General features: G+C 50.9%; 1 protein-coding gene and 1 long non-coding RNA gene across 6 annotated transcripts, besides 3 other annotated features; one reads left to right on the top strand and one right to left on the bottom strand.

Moving 5' to 3' along the window:
* Window positions 150-689: an enhancer, noted in NCBI's record as "active region_29078". NCBI's record gives its function as "activates an Ori minimal core promoter by ATAC-STARR-seq in GM12878 lymphoblastoid cells {active_cell/tissue: GM12878}" and the evidence as "EXISTENCE:reporter gene assay evidence [ECO:0000049][PMID:35858748]".
* Window positions 389-17677, top strand: TRUB2 (TruB pseudouridine synthase family member 2). Of its 4 annotated transcripts, NM_001329863.2 has the most exons (9): window positions 389-536; window positions 1106-1237; window positions 5610-5684; window positions 6940-7014; window positions 7208-7269; window positions 8947-9028; window positions 11235-11307; window positions 11813-11949; window positions 12961-17677. In NM_001329863.2, the coding sequence occupies exons 4-9, from the start codon at window positions 7011-7013 to the stop codon at window positions 13284-13286; spliced, it is 684 nt and encodes a 227-aa protein (NP_001316792.1). In that variant the 5' UTR covers window positions 389-536; window positions 1106-1237; window positions 5610-5684; window positions 6940-7010; the 3' UTR covers window positions 13287-17677. The 4 variants fall into 4 exon arrangements, with proteins under 4 accessions (NP_001316792.1, NP_056494.1, NP_001316790.1 ...); NM_015679.3 differs by lacking the exon at window positions 6940-7014; NM_001329862.2 differs by lacking the exons at window positions 389-536; window positions 6940-7014 and adding an exon at window positions 618-980.
* LOC105376286 (uncharacterized) lies at window positions 5937-9285 on the bottom strand. 2 transcript variants are annotated; one of them, XR_930377.3, is made up of 3 exons: window positions 8931-9285; window positions 8589-8738; window positions 5937-7412 (listed from the first exon to the last, which is right to left on the bottom strand). It is a non-coding gene; the product is annotated as an uncharacterized LOC105376286 (long non-coding RNA). The 2 variants fall into 2 exon arrangements; XR_007061802.1 differs by lacking the exon at window positions 8589-8738.
* Window positions 15292-15586: an enhancer, noted in NCBI's record as "tiled region #14380; HepG2 Activating DNase unmatched - State 18:Pol2, and K562 Activating DNase unmatched - State 5:Enh". NCBI's record gives its function as "activates a minimal TATA promoter and a strong SV40 promoter by Sharpr-MPRA in HepG2 and K562 cells {active_cell/tissue: HepG2 | K562}" and the evidence as "EXISTENCE:reporter gene assay evidence [ECO:0000049][PMID:27701403]".
* Window positions 16472-16766: a silencer, noted in NCBI's record as "tiled region #12606; HepG2 Repressive non-DNase unmatched - State 18:Pol2". NCBI's record gives its function as "represses a minimal TATA promoter and a strong SV40 promoter by Sharpr-MPRA in HepG2 cells {active_cell/tissue: HepG2}" and the evidence as "EXISTENCE:reporter gene assay evidence [ECO:0000049][PMID:27701403]".
* Window positions 17678-20166: the final 2489 nt, after the last annotated feature.

Here is a 20166-nt window from a genome sequence, read left to right as displayed (position 1 = left end):
GGGCGGGTACGAAGAACGCCGCGATTCTGTCAGGCGACGGAGCGTCGGAGGGGTCAAAACTCACTGAAAAACCGATTCTGACGGCGTAGCCTACGGCCTTTCGAGGGGAAACATCGCTTCACGGGCAGAAGGCATGTAGGCCAAGTAGGCGAAGGAAACGCACGCGAACTGTCTACCGTCTACGTCCACCGATCCAAGACTCTCGCCATGTCACCTCGCCCCAGAAAGTGTCTGCAAAGGACACGCAACCACGCTCACTCAGCGCCGGGCCCTATTTCCTTCTCCACAGCCGGTTTTCCCCGAAGACTATAAAATGCGAACCTCTTCCGGCTGTGGAACATGGCGGCGCCCGTGGAAAGGACCACATTTGGGGGCGGGGCCTGGCGGTACTTCCGTCCAGGTCCAGCGGGTGCTGTGATCTTCAAGTATGGGGTCTGCTGGCTTGTCGCGGCTGCATGGGCTTTTCGCGGTCTATAAGCCCCCGGGGCTAAAATGGAAGCACCTGCGGGATACAGTGGAGCTACAACTTCTGAAGGGTGAGTGCCTCGAACCAGACCCACGTTCCCGCTCTCGTTCTCTTGGAAGTCCATCTCCGCTTCTGGTCCTTACCCCAAAACAAAATCACGTGACCTATTCACCTGGGCAGAGCGCTTTCCCAAACGCCTGTTCTCTGTGCTTTCTTACTCCTCACTTTCCTCTGTTTTCCGAGGGGGAAACTGACTCAGTATTGTTCCTTGTCACACGGTTACTACGTTGTAGAGTCTGTTTGAATCCGCCTGTTTCTTAACTACTGCTATACTGCCCTCTGCACCATGGGCTTCTGCTTTGTCTTCTACATCATACTTCCCTGTTGTCTAATCCCCCAAGTGTTTGGACAGAACAAGATATTCCTGGTCAGCATCGTGGTGCACGCCTGTAATCCCAGCTACTCTGGAGGCTGAGGCAGGAGGATCGCTTGAGCCCAAGAGTTTGACGTTACAGTGAGCTATGATGGCGCCATTGCACTTCAGCCTGGGCTACAGAACGAGGCCCTGTCTCTTAAAAAATATTTTATATGTACATATATTTGTATGTATGTGTGTATATATTATCTCTGTGTGTTCAGGTCTCAATGCCAGGAAGCCTCCCGCTCCTAAACAGCGTGTTCGCTTCTTGCTGGGCCCCATGGAAGGCAGCGAAGAGAAGGAGCTGACCCTCACAGCCACCAGCGTACCCTCTTTCATCAACCATCCACTGGGTAAGGCAGATTTAAGCAGGATCCTGTGTGTCACTTCCCAGGAAATCCCTGAGCCGAGTCAGTGTCCCAGTGCTCAGATTCCTGTGCCAGGCCCTTGAAGGTCCACAGAGGAGTGAGGTATTAGACCAGGAATTGGCAGATTTCCTTGGAAAGGGCCAGATACTGAATGTTTTAGTTTTCAGGCCATGTGATTTCCGTTGGAACTGCTCAACTCTGCCAATGTAGTGCCAAACAGCTATAGACAGTATCTAAAGGAATGAGCCTAGCTGTATTCCAATAGAACTTTATGAATATTCATATTTGAACTTCAGGTAATTTTCACGTGTCACTAAGTACAGTTGCCTCTGAGTCCATGAGTTCCACATCCCATGATCCAGCTTCAGATTGGCAGTATTTGGGAAGAAAAACACAAAGTTCCAAAAAGCAAAACTTGAATTTGCTGTGCACCTAGTACTGTGTTGAATCCACTCAAGGTGATGCATAGGCATTATATTAGGCATTATAAGTAATCTAGCTAGGCGTGGTGGCTCACGCCTGTAATCCCAGCATTTTGAGAGGCCGAGGAGGGTGGATCATGAGGTCAAGAGATCGAGACCATCCTGGCCAACATGGTGAAACCCCGTCTCTACTAAAAATACAAAAATTAGCCGGGAGTGGTGGCAGGCGCCTGTAGTCCCAGTTGCTCAGGAGGCTGAGGCAGGAGAATCACTTGAACCCGGGAGGCGGAGGTTGCAGTGAGCCGAAATTGTGCCACTGCACGCCAGCCTGGCAACAGAGCGAGACTCCGTCTCAAAAAAAAAAAGGTAATCTAGAGATGATTTAAAATATATGGGAAGGCCAGGCCTGGTGGCTCATGCTTGTAATCCCAGCACTTTGGGAAGCTGAGGCGGTGGATTACTTGAGCCTAGGAGTTTAACATCAGCCTGGGCAACATGGGGAAACCCTACTTCTACAAGAGAATACAAAAGGCCGGGTGCAGTGGCTCACACCTGTAATCCCAGCACTTTGGGAGGCTGAGGCGAGCAGATCACCTGAGGTCGGGAGTTCGAGACCAGCCTGGCCAACATGGAGAAACCCCGTCTCTACTAAAAATACAAAATTAGACAGGTGTGGTGGCACATGCCTATAATCCCAGGTTCTCAGGAGGCTGAGGCAGGAGAATTGCTTGAACCCGGGAGTCGGAGGTTGCGGTGAGCTTAGGTTGTGCCATTGCACTCTAGCCTGGACAATAAGAGTGAAACTGTCTCAAAAAAAAAAAAAAATTAGCCAGGTGGGGTGGCATATGCCTGTAGTTCCAGCTACTCGGGAGGTTGAGGTGGGAGAATCACTTGAGCCCAGGAGTTCAGAGGCTGCAGTGAGCCGAGACTGTGCCAGTGCACTCCAGCCTGGGTGACAGAGTGAGACTCTGTCTCCAAAAAAAATAAAGAGGCTGAGGTGGGCGGATCACGAGGTCAGGAAATCGAGACCATCCTGGCTAATACGGTGATACCCTGTCTCTACTAAAAATACAAAGAAATTAGCCGGGCGTGGTGGTGGGCGCCTGTAGTCCCAGCTACTCCAGAGGCTGAGGCAGGAGAATGGCGTGAACCCAGGAGGCGGAGCTTGCAGTGAGCGGAGATCGTGCCACTGCACTCCAGCCTGGGCGACACAGCGAGACTCAGTCTCAAAAAAAAAAAAAGTGGCCAGGTGTGGTGGCTCACGCCTGTAATCGCTGCACTTTGGGAGGCCAAGGTGGGCGGATCACTTGAGGTCAGGAGTTCAAGACATGGCAAAGCCCCGTCTCTAGTAAAAATTAGCTGGGCATGATAGCACGTACCTGTAATCCCAGCTACTCAGGAGGCTGAGTTACGAGGAGTCGCACGAACCTGGGAGGCAGAGGTTGTGGTGAGCCATGATCGTGCCACTGCACTCCAGCCTGGGTGAAAGAGTGAGACTCTGCCTCAAAAAAAAAAAAAAAAGGTATATGGGACGACATGCCTAGGTTATATGCAAATACTATGCCATTTTATATCAGGGACTTGAACATCTACAAATTTTGGTATCTGCAAGGGATCCTGGACCCAATCCCCTTGGATACCAAGGGACAACTGTAGTATTCTATTTATTTAGAGACAGGGTCTCACTCTGTCACCCAGGCTGGAGGGCAGTGGTGAGATCTCGGCTCACTGAAACCTCTGCCTCCTGAGTTCAAGCAGTCTTCTCACCTAAGCCTCCCGAGTAGCTGGGACTACAGGCACAGGCCACTATGCCTGGCTAATTTTTTTTTTTTTTTTGAGACGGAGTCATGCTCTGTTGCCCAGGCTGGAGTGCAGTGGCACGATCTCGGCTCACTGCAAGCTTCTCCTCCTGGGTTCACGCCATTCTCCTGCCTCAGCCTCCCGAGTAGCTGGGACTACAGGCGCCCGCCACCACGCCCAGCTAATTTTTTGTATTTTTAGTAGAGACGGGGTTTCACCATGTTAGGCAGGATAGTCTCGATCTCCTGACCTCGTGATCCACCCGCCTCGGCCTCCCAAAGTGCTGGGATTACAGGTGTGAGCCACCACGCCCGGCCATGCCTGGCTAATTTTTGTATTTTTTGTAGAGATGGGGTTTTGTCACGTTGCCCATGCTAGTATTGAACTCCTGGGCTCAAGTGATCTGCCTGCCTCGGCGTCTCAAAGTGCTGGGATTATAAGCGTGAGCCCTTGCAACTGGTCTCTTGATTTATTTTGAACCACTGAAAAATGCAAAAACCATTCTTAACTCATAGGCCACAAAAAACAAGCCAGATGCGGTGGCTCATTCATGTAATCCCAGCACTTTGGGAGGCCGAGGCAGGCGGATCACTTGAGGTCAAGAGTTCAAGACCAGCCTGGCCAACATGATGAAACTCCGTCTCTACTAAAAATACAAAAAATTAGCTAGGTATGGAGGCAGGTGCCTGTAATCCTAGCTACTCAGGAGGCTGAGGCATGAGAATCGCTTGAATCTGGGAGGTGGAGGTTGCAGTGAGTTGAGATGGCGCCACTGCACTCCAGCCTGGGTGACAAAGTGAGACTCCATCTCAAAACAAAACAAAACAAAACAAGCAAACACACACACACAAAAAAAAAACAGTCTTCAGTCTTCAGGTTTGACTTGTGGACTGTAGTTTGCTGACCCTTTTTCTATTCTGGGACTCCAGGTGAGAAATGAGACCCTAGGTAGAAGTCCTAAGGTAGGGGTTTTGGGTTTCTGGGAAAGAATAAGTTTATTTATTTATTTATTTGACAGAGTCTTGCTCTGTTGCCCAGGCTGGAGTCTGGAGTGCAGTGGTGTGATCTCAGCTCACTGCAACCTCCATCTCCCAGGTTCAAGCTATTCTCTTGCCTCAGCCTCCCAAGTAGCTGGGATTACAGGTGTGTGCCACCACACCCAGCTAATTTTTGTATTTTTAGTAGAGATGGGGTTTCACCATGTTGGCCAGGCTGGTCTCGAACTCCTGACCTCAGGTGATCCGCCCACCTTGGCCTCCCAAAGTGCTGGGATTACAGGTGTGAGCCACTGCGCCCAGCCGAAAGAGTGATTTTTTTACTGAATAAAGTTGCCCAACAATGGAACTGGTTCTGGTAATGTGTCCCCATCACTAGATGTGATTAAGGCATGTGTCAGGGAATCTAGAGGTTTGACCAGAAACCTCAAAAACCCGTTGGACTTGTGATATTCAATGACTCTATTATATGGTAACAATAAGAAGTATAATGTATTGAGTCGCCACTCTGTACTAGGCATTGTGTTAAGCTTCCCCCAAGTACAATCCTCATTGATATCACCACAGTGCTGTGAGATGGGTCCTATTTTCATTTCACAAGGGAGAAAACTGAGGCTCAGTGTTGACATTTAGTAACATGGCCTGGATTCAATAGGCCCTTAACTACCCTGGACTCTTCCCCTAGATTCCTCTTAATCTGTAGAAGTGTAAACACTTCTGGCTCATTCCTGCATTTATTCTTTCAGTAGTTCTTTCCTGAGCAGCTAGTGAGTTGACACACCCAGGTTCTGCCTTAAGGAGCTCACAGCCTCCATTTTCCTCCAGGGACTCTTCCTCAGTAGAGCTGGGCAGGGAACCCCGCACTCTTGACCTTCAGTGTTACGCCAGTCTTCTTAGAGCCTCTCACTGGGAGACTGATGATAGGCAGAGTAAGAGGCATCTTGGGCTGCCCTTTGGATCCCAGGGCACTGAGGATACAGTTCAGGGTCCCAGATTCCATGACGGGGAAGCCTGAGAGTCTGGCCTGATGCTAGTTTGGGCTCCATGAGGCCCATTCTGAGAACGAGGTCAACATGCAGCCCAAAGCCATCCTGGGGTGGCATTTAGTTGAGAAAATGGACCTTGTTTGTTTCTTTCCAGTATGTGGACCAGCATTCGCCCATCTCAAGGTTGGCGTGGGACATCGGTTGGATGCCCAGGCTTCTGGAGTACTTGGTAGGTGATGTGAGAAGCCTGGGGGTACAGTGATAAGGCTTGAGAAAAGATCCTGAAGCTACCAGGAGCCCAGCCCACTTCTTACCTGGCACCCACGTCCCACCACTCCTCTCCTGCCCTGATTCCTGCCCCAAGGCTGATCAGCTGGGGAGTGGATAGGTGGGACGGAGGTAATCACAGGTTAATACCACAGTCACCCACCTTTATTCAGTGATTCCCACACATGACATAGTTCGAGGCCCTTTATGCACATTTATTTACCACAACAACTTTATTAGGTAGATACTATATGATTTTATGGAAGAAGAAAGTAGGATTTAGGTGACTTGTTCTGGGTCCCATGGCCAGTGAATACCCCTGGTCCGGAGAAGGAAAACCATCATTGCATCATGGGGCAGCCAGGCGCGTGACTCTGGACCTAATGGCCAGGGCCTGCATGTGGCTGGGTCTGGACACACAAAGCCCTAGTCATGAGCCATCTGTGTCCCCAGGGTCAGGTGGTGCCCACATCCTCCAGCCGCGACAGTCACAGTCCCCTTGTCTTGCTTCCTGAGGCACAGGCAGGCAGACATGATCTCATGCCCCCTCTCCCTGTTCTGTCTCCCCACGAGTGAATGCAGAGTTATTCTGTCCCTCAGCCAGAGGGAGAAACAGACCGGGAGAAAGGCAGGAAGTGACCACAGTGGCCACCGTTTATTGGGCCCTTCCTCTGTGCCGACTGCACAGCACCCACAGGAATCAGTATTTTTTTTTTTTCCTGAGACAGAGTCTTGCTCTGTCTCCCAGGCTGGAGTGCAATGGCATGATCTCGGCTCACTGGAACCTCCGCCTCCTGGGTTCAAGCAATTCTCCCTGCCTTAGCCTCCCGAGTAGGTGGGATTACAGGTGCCCGCCACCACGCCTGGCTAATTTTTTTTTTTTTTTTTTGTGAGACGGAGTCTCACTCTTGTTGCCCAAGCTGGAGTGTAGTGTAGCACCACACCTGGTTAATTTTGTATTTTTTGGTAGAGATGGGGTTTCACCATGTTGGCCAAGCTGGTCTCAAACTCCTGACCTCAGGTGATCCACCTGCCTCGGCCTCCCAAAGTTCTGGGATTACAGGCATGAGCCACTGCGCCTGGCCTTCAGACAGTATTTTTACCCCCATTTTACTGATGGGGAACTTGACGCTCAAAGAGGCTAAAGATTATACTCAGAGCTGTCCCTGATTTGAGTGCAGGTTTGTGTGACTAGGCCAGGGATCTCTTCCTCTCAGGTGTCAGAATCCTGTGGAGAGCTTGGCAGGGATCCTAGGCCCCCTCCAACCATGAGTCAGATTCAGTGCATATGGGTAAGGCCCAGCAATCTGCATGTGATATATACCCAGAGGGGTGCACCTGCCCCCTGTAGAAGATCTTTTTGCCTTCTTGTTGCCTTTGGCAGCATCAGAAAAGGGAGTATTCTGATGGTGGGGGTAGGGGTGGGGATACTTAGGGGAATGGGAAGGGGGTCCCAGGTGTGAGATGACGCTGGCTGCTTTTCAGTGCTCGGCGTGGGACATGGATGCAGGCTCCTCACCGATATGTACAATGCTCATCTTACCAAGGTACGAGGGTCTGGGGACAGCCTGCTTCTCCCTTGGTCCTTTCCTGGGGGTCACCAGCAGGATTCTGAAGCTTAGAGGATTCCGTGGGGGAACACCCAAGCCATAAGCAAGCATTTTTTTGATGATCGTGTGCTGTGCAGGGGCTGTAATAATAATAACAATAATAACTACCAGTGTTAGTGTATGCCGACTACTCTGTGCTGAGCACTGTACGTGGATTCCTTTAGGGAAGCCTCACAGCCTCCCTGTAAAGTGGAATCTGTTGTTAGCCACATTTCACAGATGAGAGAACTGAGGCTCAGAGAGGAGATGTTACTTACCTAGGTCATGTAGTTGTTAGGGCTTTAAGAGCTGGGATTTGAACCTAGGTCTCTCCAACACCAGAGCTTGATCATGATGCCATTCCCTATTCTGTCCCAAGACTGAGAGGTAGATGTCAGCATCCTACCCACAGGGAGCTTACCATCCAGAGGTGGGGTCGGGGCTATGGAGTCTGATACCACAAAGTATGTACGCAGGTGCCACGTTATGGGGCCCATGTTTTTAGTGGTTAAGGGCACAAATTCTGGAGCCAAATGGCTTCAGTTTGAACCCCAGCTTCTACCACTCTGACAGCTGTGTGTCCTTGGGTAGATTACCTAATTAATATCTGTGTGCCTCAGTTTCCTCATCTGTAAAATGGGAATGAGGGCCAGGTGTGGTGACTCATACCTGTAATCCCAGTACTTTGGGAGGCTGAGGCAGGAGGATTGCTTGAGCCCAGGAATTTGAGACCAGTCTGGGCAACATAGCAAGACTCCATCTCTATTTACAAAATTTTTTTAAATTATAAAAATTTTAAAAATTGTGGCCGGGCTCAGTGGCTCCTGCCACTTTGGGAGGCTGAGGTGGGTGGGTCACTTGAGGCCAGGAGTTCAAGACCAGCCTGGACAACATGGTGAAAACCTGTCTCTACTAAAAATACAAAAAAATTAGCCAGGCTGGTGGCGCATGCCTGTCCTCCCAGCTACTCGACGATCCACCCGCCTCTGTCTCCCAAAGTGCTGGGATTATACGTGTGAGTCACTGTATCCAGCCAATCATTACTTATCTGTGGCAGATGGGGTTAGCTGCACAGATTCAGAGGAGGGGGAGTTTTTACAAGCAGGGATGAGCAAGGGCCTGATCTGGGCCATGGAATCTCATTCTATTTAGAGGCGTGGAGAGAAGCCTACAGGGCATGCTAGAAGGGGCTCGGGGTGATAAATTGCCGAGTTAGGTTGGAGAGGAGAAACATGGAGGCCTGGGGTGGCCACAGGGTGGCTGTCAGCGGTCAGTACCTTTGGAGGCTGCCAGTGCTGGTTGTCATGGAAACCAGCCAGCAGTCTTGTAGGAAGCCTGCTGACTGGGAGCCAGGTACCATGTCCTGCTGAATCCAGGCAGCAGTACTGTGAGACTGGCCCTGTTACTGTCCCCAGGTGACAGGAGAGCTTGAATACAAAGAGAGCAAGAGCTGCTGAAGGCCACATGACAGAGCTGGTGCCCTTCCTCCTGGGGCTGTGGAGCAGCTGGGCAGGGGCTGGGCACATGAGCTTCCTGAGGGAGACCTGAGGACCCCCCACCCCCAGCTTCTGGGGCAGGGGCTACTAGGGCTTAGAATGGGGTCACTGACGGATCTTTACCTCCCTGTCCTTGAAGGATTACACAGTGCGTGGCCTCCTGGGCAAAGCTACAGATGACTTCCGTGAGGACGGGAGGCTGGTAGAGAAGACAACCTATGGTGAGAACCGGAAGTGGCTGCCGCTGCCTCCCTCCGCATTTGCTTTCCCTGAGTCCTCTCCCCGCCCTAGGCCACGCTGGCCCCTTCTCAGTTCCACTGCACACACTAGGCTTGGGCTGAGGCTTTGGCCACGGGATCTGTGCTCCAGGAGCATCCTCTACTCCCCTGCTTGCCTAGCTCAAATGTAACGTCACTTCCAAAGACTCTAGTTTCTCTCCATCTCGTCAGTCTTTGACCTTTTCCTTTTCTTTTCTTTTTTTTTTTTTTTTTTTGAGACGGAGTCTCGCTCTGTCGCCCAGGCTGGAGTGCAGTGGCACGATCTCAGCTCGCTGCAAGCACCACCTCCCGGGTTCACGCCATTCTCCTGCCTCAGCCTCCCTAGTAGCTGGGACTACAGGCGCCCGCCACCACGCCCGGCTTTTTTTTTTTTGTATTTTTAGTAGAGATGGGAGACGGGGTTTCACCATGTTAGCCAAGATGGTCTGGATCTCCTGACCTCATGATCCGCCCTCCTTGGCCTCCCAAAGTGCTGGGATTACAGGCATGAGCCACCGCGCCCAGCCTTTCCTTTTCTTTTCTTTTTTTTTTTTTGAAACGATGTCTCGCTCTGTCGCCCAGGCTGGAGTGCAGTGGCGCGATCTTGGCTTACTGCAACCTCCACCTCCCAGGTTCAAGCAATTCTCCTGCCTCAGCCTTCGGAGTAGCTGAGATTACAGGTGCACACCACCACACCCAGCTAATGTTTTGTATTTTTAGTAGAAATTGGGTTTCACCCTGTTGGCCAGTCTGGTCTGGAACTCCTGACCTCAGGTATTCTGCCCACCTCGGCCTCCCAAAGTGCTGGGATTACAGGTGTGAGTCACCACGCCTGGCTACTGTTCTAAATTTTAAAAAGAGGCCGGGCGCAGTGGCTCACGCCTGTAATCCCAGCACTTTGGGAGGTCGAGATGGGTGGATCACAAGGTCAGGAGTTTGAGACCAGCCTGGCTGATATGGTAAAACCCGTCTCTAGTAAAAATACAAAAATTAGCCGGGCGTGGTGGCAGGCACCTGTAGTCCCAGCTACTCAGGAGGCTGAGGCAGGAGAATCGCTTGAACCTGGGAGGCGGAGGTTGCAGTGAGCTGAGATTGCACCACTGCACTCCAGCCTGGCAACAAAGCGAGACTCCGTCTCAAAAAAAAAAAAAAAAAATAATAATAATACAAAAAATTAGCCGGGCATGGTAGTGCACGCCTATAATCCCAGGTACTCGGGAGGCTGAGGCAGGAGAATCGTTTGAACCTAGGAGGTGAAGTTTGCAGTTTGCTGAGATCTCACCACTGCACTCCAGCCTGGGCAACAGAGCGAGATTCCATCTCAAAAAAAAAAAGGCCAGGTTCGGTGGCTCACGCCTGTAATCCCAGCACTTTGGGAGGCCAAGGCAGGTGGATTGCCTGATGTCAGGAGTTCGAGACCAGCCTGGCCAACATGGTGAAACCCCGTCTCTACTAAAAATACAAAAACTAGCCGGGTGTCTTGGCGTGTACCTTTAATCCTAGCTTTTCAGGAGGCTGAGGCAGGAGAATTGCTTGACTCCAGGAGGCGGAGCTTGTAGTGAGCTGAGATTGTGCCATTTGCACTCCAGCCTGGGCAACAGAACAAGACTCCGTCTCAAAAAAAAAAAAAAAAAAAAGTCTGGGTGCAGTGGCTCACACCTGTAATCTCAGCACTTTGGGAGGCCGAGGCGGGCGGATCACGAGGTCAGGAGATCGAGACCATCCTGGCTAACACGGTGAAACCCCCTTGCTACTAAAAATTTAAAAAATTAGCCGGACGTGGTGGTGGGCGCCTGTAGTCCCAGCTACTCGAGAGGCTGAGGCAGGAGAATGGCATGAACCTGGGAGGCGGAGCTTGCAGTGAGCCAAGATTGCGCCACTGCACTCCAGTCTGGGTGACAGAGCGAGACTCCGTCTCAAAAAAAAAAAAAAAAAAAAAATAGAGTGCCCTTGCTGCTGAGTCATGTGTATCTTTCTGAGATCCAGTATCTTTCTGAGGTCCAGTGCTTTCATGAGAATCTCAAAGGACTCCCAACCACCCCGCCATGGGGATCCCTCCAAAACATCCTCTCTCCATGTTCCAGGGATGGGGCTGGCCTGGGGGGAAGGAGTTTGCTGTGACCAATACTCAGCAGGTACCTGTACATTGACAACCCCCTGCCTTTTCCAGACCACGTGACCAGAGAGAAGCTGGACCGCATTCTGGCCGTTATCCAAGGCTCCCATCAGAAGGCCCTGGTGATGTGAGTAGGGCCCTCAGGGAGGTACTGGGAGAGCAGTAAGTGCCCTTGGCTCCCGTAGGCTCCCCCAAACCTGGGGCAGATTCCATGGATCTTGTTTTTAGAGCCCAGAACCAGACGGGAGCTACCTGTTTCTTTCTTGGCATTAAGAAATGGTTCTGTGTGCCAGGTCTTGGGTTGGCCAACGGGAGGCCAAGAAGAGCAAGAGAACCAAGCTGTCCTGCTGAGAGTATATGATCTAATGGCAAGGAAACCAGGGACCACATCATTGGAGCACAGAGCCCAAGGGCAAGAGCAGCCAAGGAGTTAAGAGCTTGGGCTCTGGAGCCAGCTTGCCTGGGTTTCCTGACTCTACCAGGCACCTGGTGATGAAGGAGGGCAGGAAAGGTGGCTGGAGGAGCCACGGTGGCAGGGCACACAAAGCAAGTGAGGAGCTTCCAGAGAGGCACCTCATGTGGGGGAAAGGGTAGGTGGGCCACCCAGCTGCAGCCCCCTTCCTGATCTGCAGGTACTCCAACCTCGACCTGAAGACCCAGGAGGCCTATGAGATGGCCGTGAGAGGCCTGATCCGGCCCATGAACAAGTCCCCGATGCTGATAACTGGCATCCGATGCCTCTACTTTGCACCTCCGGAATTCCTCTTAGGTAGGTTGGCCAAGGAAGTTGGAGCAGTGAGATGGGACCCGTAGGTTTGGGAGTCACTCAGGAACGCTCTTGCAGAGGTCACTGTTGTCTGGCTCAGCTGAGGCCAGCACACGCCGGCCCTGATCTCTGCGGGCCAAGGCATCAGGTGCCGACTTCCTTCCCAGCCCTGGCCTGGACTTGGCTGATGACAGAGCTCGCAGAACAAAAGCTCTCCTATCTCTTGCCAAGTCACCCTTGGAAGCCAGACCTTACCAAGCAAAGGTTATATTTAGTGGCTTATTTCCAGAGCTGCCCATGTTTGAAGCTGTGAGGGCTCCATCAGACACAACTCTTACGTCCCCAGTCCCACCCAGCTCAGGCCCCTCTTATCTGTGTTCCTTTTGTCTCTGCCTGCGCCCGCCCCTTTTTTCTGTTGGTCATGTTAATGCCTGCTCCTCTGCTTGAGCACAGAACTCTGTTATTAAGATAACATCTTAATAACATTTTAAAGATAATCATTTATCTTTCTATAAATGATTTCTTTTACTCCTCATAACTCCCATTTTACAGATAGGGAAACCGAGTCTTAGTAAAAGGCAGGTTCTAACCTGGGCAAGATGGCGAGACCCTGTCTCTACAAAAAATAAAAAATTAGCCAGTTGTGATGGCTCAGAACGTCCCAGCTACTCCGGAGGCTGAGGCAGGTGGATCATGTGAGCCTAGGAGGTCAAGGCTGCAGTGATCTGTTATCACACCACTGCACTCCAGCCTGGGTGATGGAATGAGACCCTGTTGCCAAAAAAGGGCAGATTCTGACTTGGCAGGTCCCGGTGGGGCCTGAGGTTCTGCAAGTCTTAACACATTTCAGGTGGCACCCACAGGGCAGGTCCTCTGAATAGCACAACCTGGAGAGCTTAGGGGTCTTGCTAAGGTTGTTACACACCTAGGAGGTATCCAAGGGGTGTGCGTTCACAACCACACACTAGAGGCTGTGCTCTCACCACCATGTCTGTCATTGTGTGTCCCTGGCAGAGGTGCAGTGCATGCATGAGACGCAGAAAGAGCTGCGGAAGTTGGTTCATGAAATCGGCCTGGAACTAAAGACCACTGCTGTCTGCACCCAAGTGCGGCGCACGCGCGACGGCTTCTTCACGCTAGACAGTGCCCTCCTGAGGACCCAGTGGGACCTAACCAACATCCAGGATGCTATCCGGGCTGCTACCCCTCAGGTAGCTGCAGAGCTGGAGAAGAGCTTGAGCCCGGGGCTGGACACCAAGCAGCTCCCCAGTCCGGGATGGTCCTGGGACTCCCAGGGCCCGAGCTCTACCTTGGGGCTGGAGAGGGGTGCGGGGCAGTGAATGCCCAGGCAGCTCCTGGGGCAGTGGATGGATAAATAGAAGAACTGCTATGAGCTGGACCTGATAGCTGTGCAGAAAGTGAGAGCAGGGGCACCTTTTCTACGTAAGACACAAAACTCAAGCTGTAACAGAAAGGTCAATGGACTTGACCCAACTGAGAAGGAAAAACTTCTGTATGGAGGAAAAGACAGTAAACATGACAGACTGATAGAAAGTATTGGCAGACCAGGCGTGGTGGCGGGCACTTGTAATCCCAGCTACTCCCAAGGCTGAGGCAGGAGAATTGCTTGAGCCCAGGAGTTTAAGGTTGTAGTGCGCTAGACGGCGCCTGTGAATAGCCACTGCACTCTAGTCTGGGGAACATATGAGACCCCTGCCATCTCAAAAAAAAAAAAATTCTCAATAAACTATGTGCCCACGAAAATTAAAAATTAAAAAAAATTGTAAGTATTTGCAGTGTCATTAACCAAGGACTAATATCCATAGTATACAGAGAGCCCTTAGAAAGCAATAAGAAGACAACGACAAAATTAGGCAAATGAGATGAAGTGTGTATCAGAAGAAATCCAAATGGCTAGTAAGCCAGAAATGACACTCAACCTCTTTAATACTGGAAGACACAGATGAAAATGAGATGATTTTTGTTGTTTTTCTGTTGTTGCCCAGGCTGGAGTGCAGTGGCGCCATCTTTGCTCACTGCAGCCTCCGCCTCCCAGGTTCAAGTGATTCTCCTGCCTCAGCCTCCCAAGTAGCTGGGGTCACAGGCGCCCGCCACCACACCTGGCTAATTTTTTGTATCCGAGATGAGGTTTCACCATGTTGGCCTGGCTCAGCCTCCCAAAGTGCTGGGATTACAGGCGTGAGCCACCGCACCTGGCCGGGACCTCAGTCTTTTCTCTTAAAGGTCTTCAGTTTATTGAATGAGCTCCGCCCACAATTGTGGTGGATAATCAGCGTGACTCAAAGTCTACCCATTGACTGATTGAAATGTTAATCATTTTTTTGTTTTTGTTTTTGTTTTTGAGACTTGCTTTGTGGCCCAGGCTGGAGTGCAGTGGTGCGATCTAGGCTCACTGCAACCTCCGCTTCCCAGGTTCACGCCATTCTCCTGCCTCAGCCTCCCGAGTAGCTGGGACTACAGGTGCCCACCACCACGCCCAGCTAATTTTTTTGTATTTTTAGTAGAGACGGTGTTGCACCGTGTTAGCCAGGATGGTCTCAATCTCCTGACCTCGTGATCCGCCTGGCTTGGCCTCCCAAAGTACTGGGATTACAGCCGTGAGCCACCACACCCGGCCTGTTTTGGTTTTTTTTTTTTCTGAGACGGAGTCTCACTCCGTCATCCAGGTTGGAGTGCAGTGGCACAATCTCAGCTCACTGCAACCTCTGCCTCCCAGGTTCAAGCGATTCTCCTGCCTCAGCTTCTCAAGTAGCTGGGATTACAGATGTGTACCACCATGCCTGGCTAATTTTTGTATTTTTAGTAGAGACAGGGTTTCACCATGTTGGCCAGGCTGGTCTGGAACTCCTGACCTCAGGTGATCCGCCCACCTCAGCCTCCCAGAGCGCTGGGATTATGCCAACCTCTGCCTCCCAAAGCACTGGGATGGCAGGCATGAGCCACCACACCCGGCCTGTTTTTGTTTTTTAGACAGGGTCTTGCTCTGTCACCCAGGCTGGAGTGCAGTGATGCAAACATGACTCACTGCAGCTTTGTCCTCTCAGGCTTAACCATCTTCCCACCTCAGCTTCCAGAATAGCTGGGACTGCAGGCGTGCACACAGTATCTGGCTAATTTATTTATTTTATTTTATTTTTGAGACAGGGCCTCGCACTGTCGCCCAGGCTAGAGTGCAGTGGCGCGGTTTCAACTCATTGCAGCCTCGACCCTCCTGGGTCAAGCGATTCTTCCTGCCTTAGTCTCCAGAGTTGCTGGGATTACCGGTGTGCACCACCAAGCCTGGCTAATTTTTGTATTTTTAGTAGAGACAGGGTTTCACTATGTTGGCCAGGCTGGTCTGGAACTCCTGACCTGAGGTGATCCGCCTACCTCGGCCTTCCAAAGTACTGGGAATATAGGCATGAGCCACTGTTTCCGGCCTGTTTTTTTTAGACAGAGTCTTGCTCTGTCACCCAGGCTGGAGTGCAATGGTGCAAACATGACTCACTGCACCGTCATCCTCCCAGGCTCAACCATCTTCCCACCTCACCCTCCAGAATAGCTGGGACTACAGGCGTGCACCACGATGCCTGGCTAAATATTTTTTTCCAGCTAATTTTATTATTTTTTTTTGAGATGGAGTCTTGCTCTGTCACCCAGGCTGGAGTGCAATGGCACAATCTTGGCTCACTGCAACCTCCGCCTCCCAGGGTCAAGTGATTCTCCTGCCTCAGCCACCCAAGTAGCTGGGATTATAGGCGTTCACCACCACGCCCAGCTAACTTTTGTATTTTTAGTAGAGACGGGGTTTCACCATGTTGGACATGCTGGTCTCAAAGTCCTGACCTCAGGTGATCTGCCCGCTTCAGCCTCCCAAAGTGCTGGGATTACAGGCGTGAGCCACCATACCTGGCCCACCTGAGATCAGGAGTTCAAGACCAGCCTGGCCAACATAGTGAAACCCTGTCTCTACTAAAAATACAAAAATTAGCCAGCTATGGTGACGCACTTCTGTAATCCTAGCTACTTGGGAGGCTGAGGCACAAGAATCGCTGAAGCCCAGGAGGTGGAGATTGCCATTAGCTGAGATTGTGCCCCTGCACTCCAGTCTGGACGAGAGAGTGAGACTCTGTCTCAGAAAAGAAAAAAAAAAAGGCTGGGCACGGTGGCTCACGCCTGTAATCCCAGCACTTTGGGAGGCCAGGGTGGGCGGATCACGAGGTCAGGAGTTCAAGACCAGCCTGACCAACATGGTGAAACCTGTCTCTACTAAAAATACAAAATTAGCCGGGCGTGCTTGCACGTGCCTGTAGTCCTGGCTACCCGGGAGGCTGATGCAGAATAACTGGAACTCGGGAGGCGGAGCTTGCAGTGAGTGGAGATTGCGCCACTGCACTCCAGCCTAGGTGACAGAGTGAGACTCTGTCTCAAAAAAAAAAAAAAAAGAGAAAAATCAGAACAAAATCAGCAATATTTAGACAAGCAGAATCCAATGAAATGGTGAGGAAAGCTGGGTGGGAGTGGAGGGTATCAGCAAAACTCAGTTCTTTGGAAAAATTAGGTAACTTGAACGTAGGGCACATGGGCTGTCACACCACCCCATTTAGAGCCCTTATTGGCATAGAGATGATAAAAGTGGACTCTGTGATGGCCTCTCATGATCTCAGGATAGCAGGATAGGGGAACTCTGAGTCATGGCCAAAATAATTGGTCAATGTACAGCCTCAGACAGCTGGGAATACCACCCCAAATCACTTGGATAAGGAGATGTTTTCCTTATCCTGTGTCTTTAACTCTGAGACGGATGGAGTTGAACAATCAACGATTGTTAAAAATGTACCAAATGTGTAAGCATCATGAGGTGTTTAAGCTGAGCTTTTAAATTAAAATTCTGCTGGGTGTGGCGGCTCATGCCTGTAATCCCAGCACTTTGCGATCCCCACACAGGAGGATTGCTTGAGCCCAGAAGTTTGAGACCAGCCTGGGCAACACAAGGAGACCCTGTCTCTACAAAAAACAAACAAACAAACAAAAAAGCCGGGGGTGTTGGTGTGTGCCTGTAGTCCCAGCTACTAGGGAGGCTGAGATGGGAGGATCGCTTGAACCTAGCAAGTCAAGGCGGCAGTAAATGGAGATCTGTACTCCAGCCTGGGCAACAGAGCGAGACCCTATGTCAGAAAAAAAGAAAAAGCCACCCAGCAGGCTGAGCGTGGTGGCTCACGCCTGTAATCCCTGCACTTTGGGAAGCCAAAGCAGGTGAATCACTTGAGGTCAGGAGTTCGAGACCAGCCTGGCCAATATGGTGAAACCCTGTCTCTACCAAAAATACAAAAATTAGCCGGGCATGGTGGCGCTTGTCTGTAGTCCAGCTACAGCTACTCCAGATCTGGGCTGAGGTGGGAGAATCATTTGAACCCAGGAGGTGGAGGTTGCAGTGAGCTGAAATCACACGACTGTACTCTAGCCTGGGTGACAGGGTGAGACCCTATCTCAAAACAAACAAACAAAAACCCCACCAGCAACCTTGCTGACAAATCCACAGGCCCCCACGTCTGCCAATTGCCTGCCTGTATGAACTGGGCACCTGGGGGAGGGGCGTGGCCCCCAGGCTACTCATCTTGGCTTTCACAGCCAAAGGGCCTGGGTGGAACCTCAGCTTACTGTGTTTACTGACTGGGTAATGTGGCCTCTGAAGCTGTCACCTATCTATAAAATGGGGATTAAAACGACACTCACTTGCTCATTGTCTTTCATCCCACCCACGTGTGTTAATCGCGTGCTCCTGTAGGCCAGCCACTGCTCTGGGTGCTGGGACTTGGTACTCAAGGACAGATGAGGCTCTAGGTCTCACAGAGATTATGACGTAGGGGGATCAGGCAAGAAAATAATGGAGTGATGAGCACAGGGAGGAGATCTGGCTGGTCAGTGAAGCAGAGGCTTGGGAGCTGATTCATTTTATATATAAGTATGTACGTAATTTTTTTTTTTTTTTGAGACAGAGTCTCACTTTGTCACCTAGGCTGGAGTGTAGTGGCGCAATCTTAGCTCACTGCAACCTCTGCCTCCCAGGCTCAAGTGATTCTCCCACCTCAGCCTCCCAAGTAGCTGAGACTACAGATGCACACCGTGACACCTGGCTAATTAAGACCCTCAACTCTTAAAAAAAAAAGGCTAAAATGATAAATTTTACATTATGCACATTTTATCACACCCACATAAAAACCATAAAAACAAAACAAAAGCTCTTTCTTGACCTCATAACTCTACAATTACTGCATTCCTTTGCCTCCTTTAGAGCAAAACTCCTGGAAAGGTTGTCTGTAGTCACTGTCCCCAGTTCCTCTCTTCCCACACTGCCCTGAATCCATGCCAGTCAGACTCTCCTTCGCCAAAACGCTCCTGAAATGACTTGTCAAGGTCAACAATGACCTCCTCCTGGTTAAATCCAGCAGCTCCTTCTCAGCAGCATCTCACACAGCTGGTCACTGCCTCCTCCCAAAAAACATTGCCTTCAGGAGGCTCCTCCTGGTCTCCCCGTCTCCCTCCCTGGTTCCTTCTCAGTCTCCTTTGTGGGGCTCCTCCTCTCCTGAGCTCTCCTCTGGTCCTGGTTCTTCCTCTGCCCACACCCAGTCCCTTGGTGACATCAACTCAATATTGCCATGGTTTTTCTTATTGTTGTTTTGAGATAGAGTCTCGCCCTGTTGCCCAGTCTCGCTCTTTTGTTGTGTAGTGGCGTGATCTCAGCTCACTGCAACCTCCACCTCCTGGGTTGAAGTGATTCTCATGCCTCAGCCTCCCGAGGAGCTGGGACTACAGGTATGAGCCACCATGCCTGGCTAATTTTTGTATTTTTTGTAGAGACAGGGTTTTGCCATGTTGCCCAGGCTAGTCTCAAATCCTAGACTCAGGTGAACTGCTCACCTCAGCCTCCCAAAGTAGTGGGATTACAGGCATGAGCCACTGCACCTGGCCACCATGGTTTTTAATAGCATTATACTGATGGTGCCCATTTTTACACCTTTAGCCTGACTTCTCCCATGAACTCCATTATACCGTTAAGCATTTCCACTTAGGAGCTGTGTTTGCATCTCAAACTGAACACTTCTGAATCCTAACTCGTCATCTTTCCCCAAGACCAGCTCTTCCCAGGGACTTCCTCACTCCAGCGCATCACAGCTTCACCTTTCTAGTTGCTCAGGTCAAAACCCTAGCAAAGTTCCCTTTCCTCAGACCCCATATTTATTTGTTTGTTTATTTTTTGAGACGGAATGTCACTCTGTCGCCCAGATGGGAGTGCAGTGGCACGATCTCGGCTCACTGCAGCCTCTGCCTCCTGGGTTCAAGCAATTCTCCTGTGTCAGTCTCCCAAGTAGCTGGAATTACAGGTGCATGCTACCATGCCCGGCTAATTTTTGTATTTTTAGTAGAGACGGGGTTTCACCATGTTGGGCCAGTCTGGTCTCGAACTCCTGACCTTGTGAACTGCCTGCCTCTGTCTCCCAAAGTGCTGGGATTATAGGTGTAAACCACTGTGCACACCACATTTTTTTTTTTTTTTTTTTGAGACAGAATGTCACTCTGTCGCCGAGGCTGAAGTGCAGTGGTGTGATCTCAGCTCACCATAACCTCCGCTTCCCAGTTCAAGCCATTCTCCTGGCTCAGCCTCCCGAGTAGCTGGGACTACAAGCACACACCACCATGCCTGGCTAATTTTTGTATTTTTAATAGAGACAGGGTTTCACCATGTTGGCCAGGCTGGTCTCGAACTCCTGACCTCAAGTGATCCACCTTGGCCTCCCAAAGTGCTGAGATTACAGGTGTTAGCCACTGCATCTGGCTTATACCCCATTTTATTTTTATTTTTATTTTTTGAGACGGAGTCTCGCTTTGCTGCCCAGGCTGGGCGCCCAATGGCACGATCTCAGCTCACCGCAACCTCCACCTCCTGGGTTCAAGTGATTCTCCCACCTCAGCCTCCCGAGTAGCTGGGATTACAGGCGTGAGCCACCGCGCCCGGCTATAATACCGCATATTTAAATCATCAGGCTCTAACTTCAAAATACGAGTGTTTCCAGAATCTGACCACTTCTCACCATTCACCTGCTGCTCTTGGTCCTCCTCCACTCCGTGGACAGAAGTCTCTTCTAAAAGCGCAGTTGGGCCATACGCGGTGGCTCATGCCTGTTATACCCAGCACTTTGGGAGGCCGAGGCAGGCGGA

This window comes from Homo sapiens, chromosome 9 (assembly GCF_000001405.40).
Source record: "Homo sapiens chromosome 9, GRCh38.p14 Primary Assembly".
In the NCBI taxonomy this organism is placed as follows: domain Eukaryota; kingdom Metazoa; phylum Chordata; class Mammalia; order Primates; family Hominidae; genus Homo; species Homo sapiens.
Note: the sequence above shows the minus strand (reverse complement) of the source record. Positions and strands in the feature narration are given on the sequence as shown.

What these genes read in the sequence shown, in the direction of transcription:
- TRUB2 (NM_015679.3), top strand. Translation starts at nt 428, where the DNA reads ATGGGGTCTGCTGGCTTGTCGCGGCTGCATGGGCTTTTCGCGGTCTAT. An exon ending in CCAGGCTTCTGGAGTACTTG is followed by an intron (nt 5,685 to 7,207) that starts GTAGGTGATGTG and finishes GCTGCTTTTCAG; the next exon opens with TGCTCGGCGTGGGACATGGA. An exon ending in GGTAGAGAAGACAACCTATG is followed by an intron (nt 9,029 to 11,234) that starts GTGAGAACCGGA and finishes TGCCTTTTCCAG; the next exon opens with ACCACGTGACCAGAGAGAAG.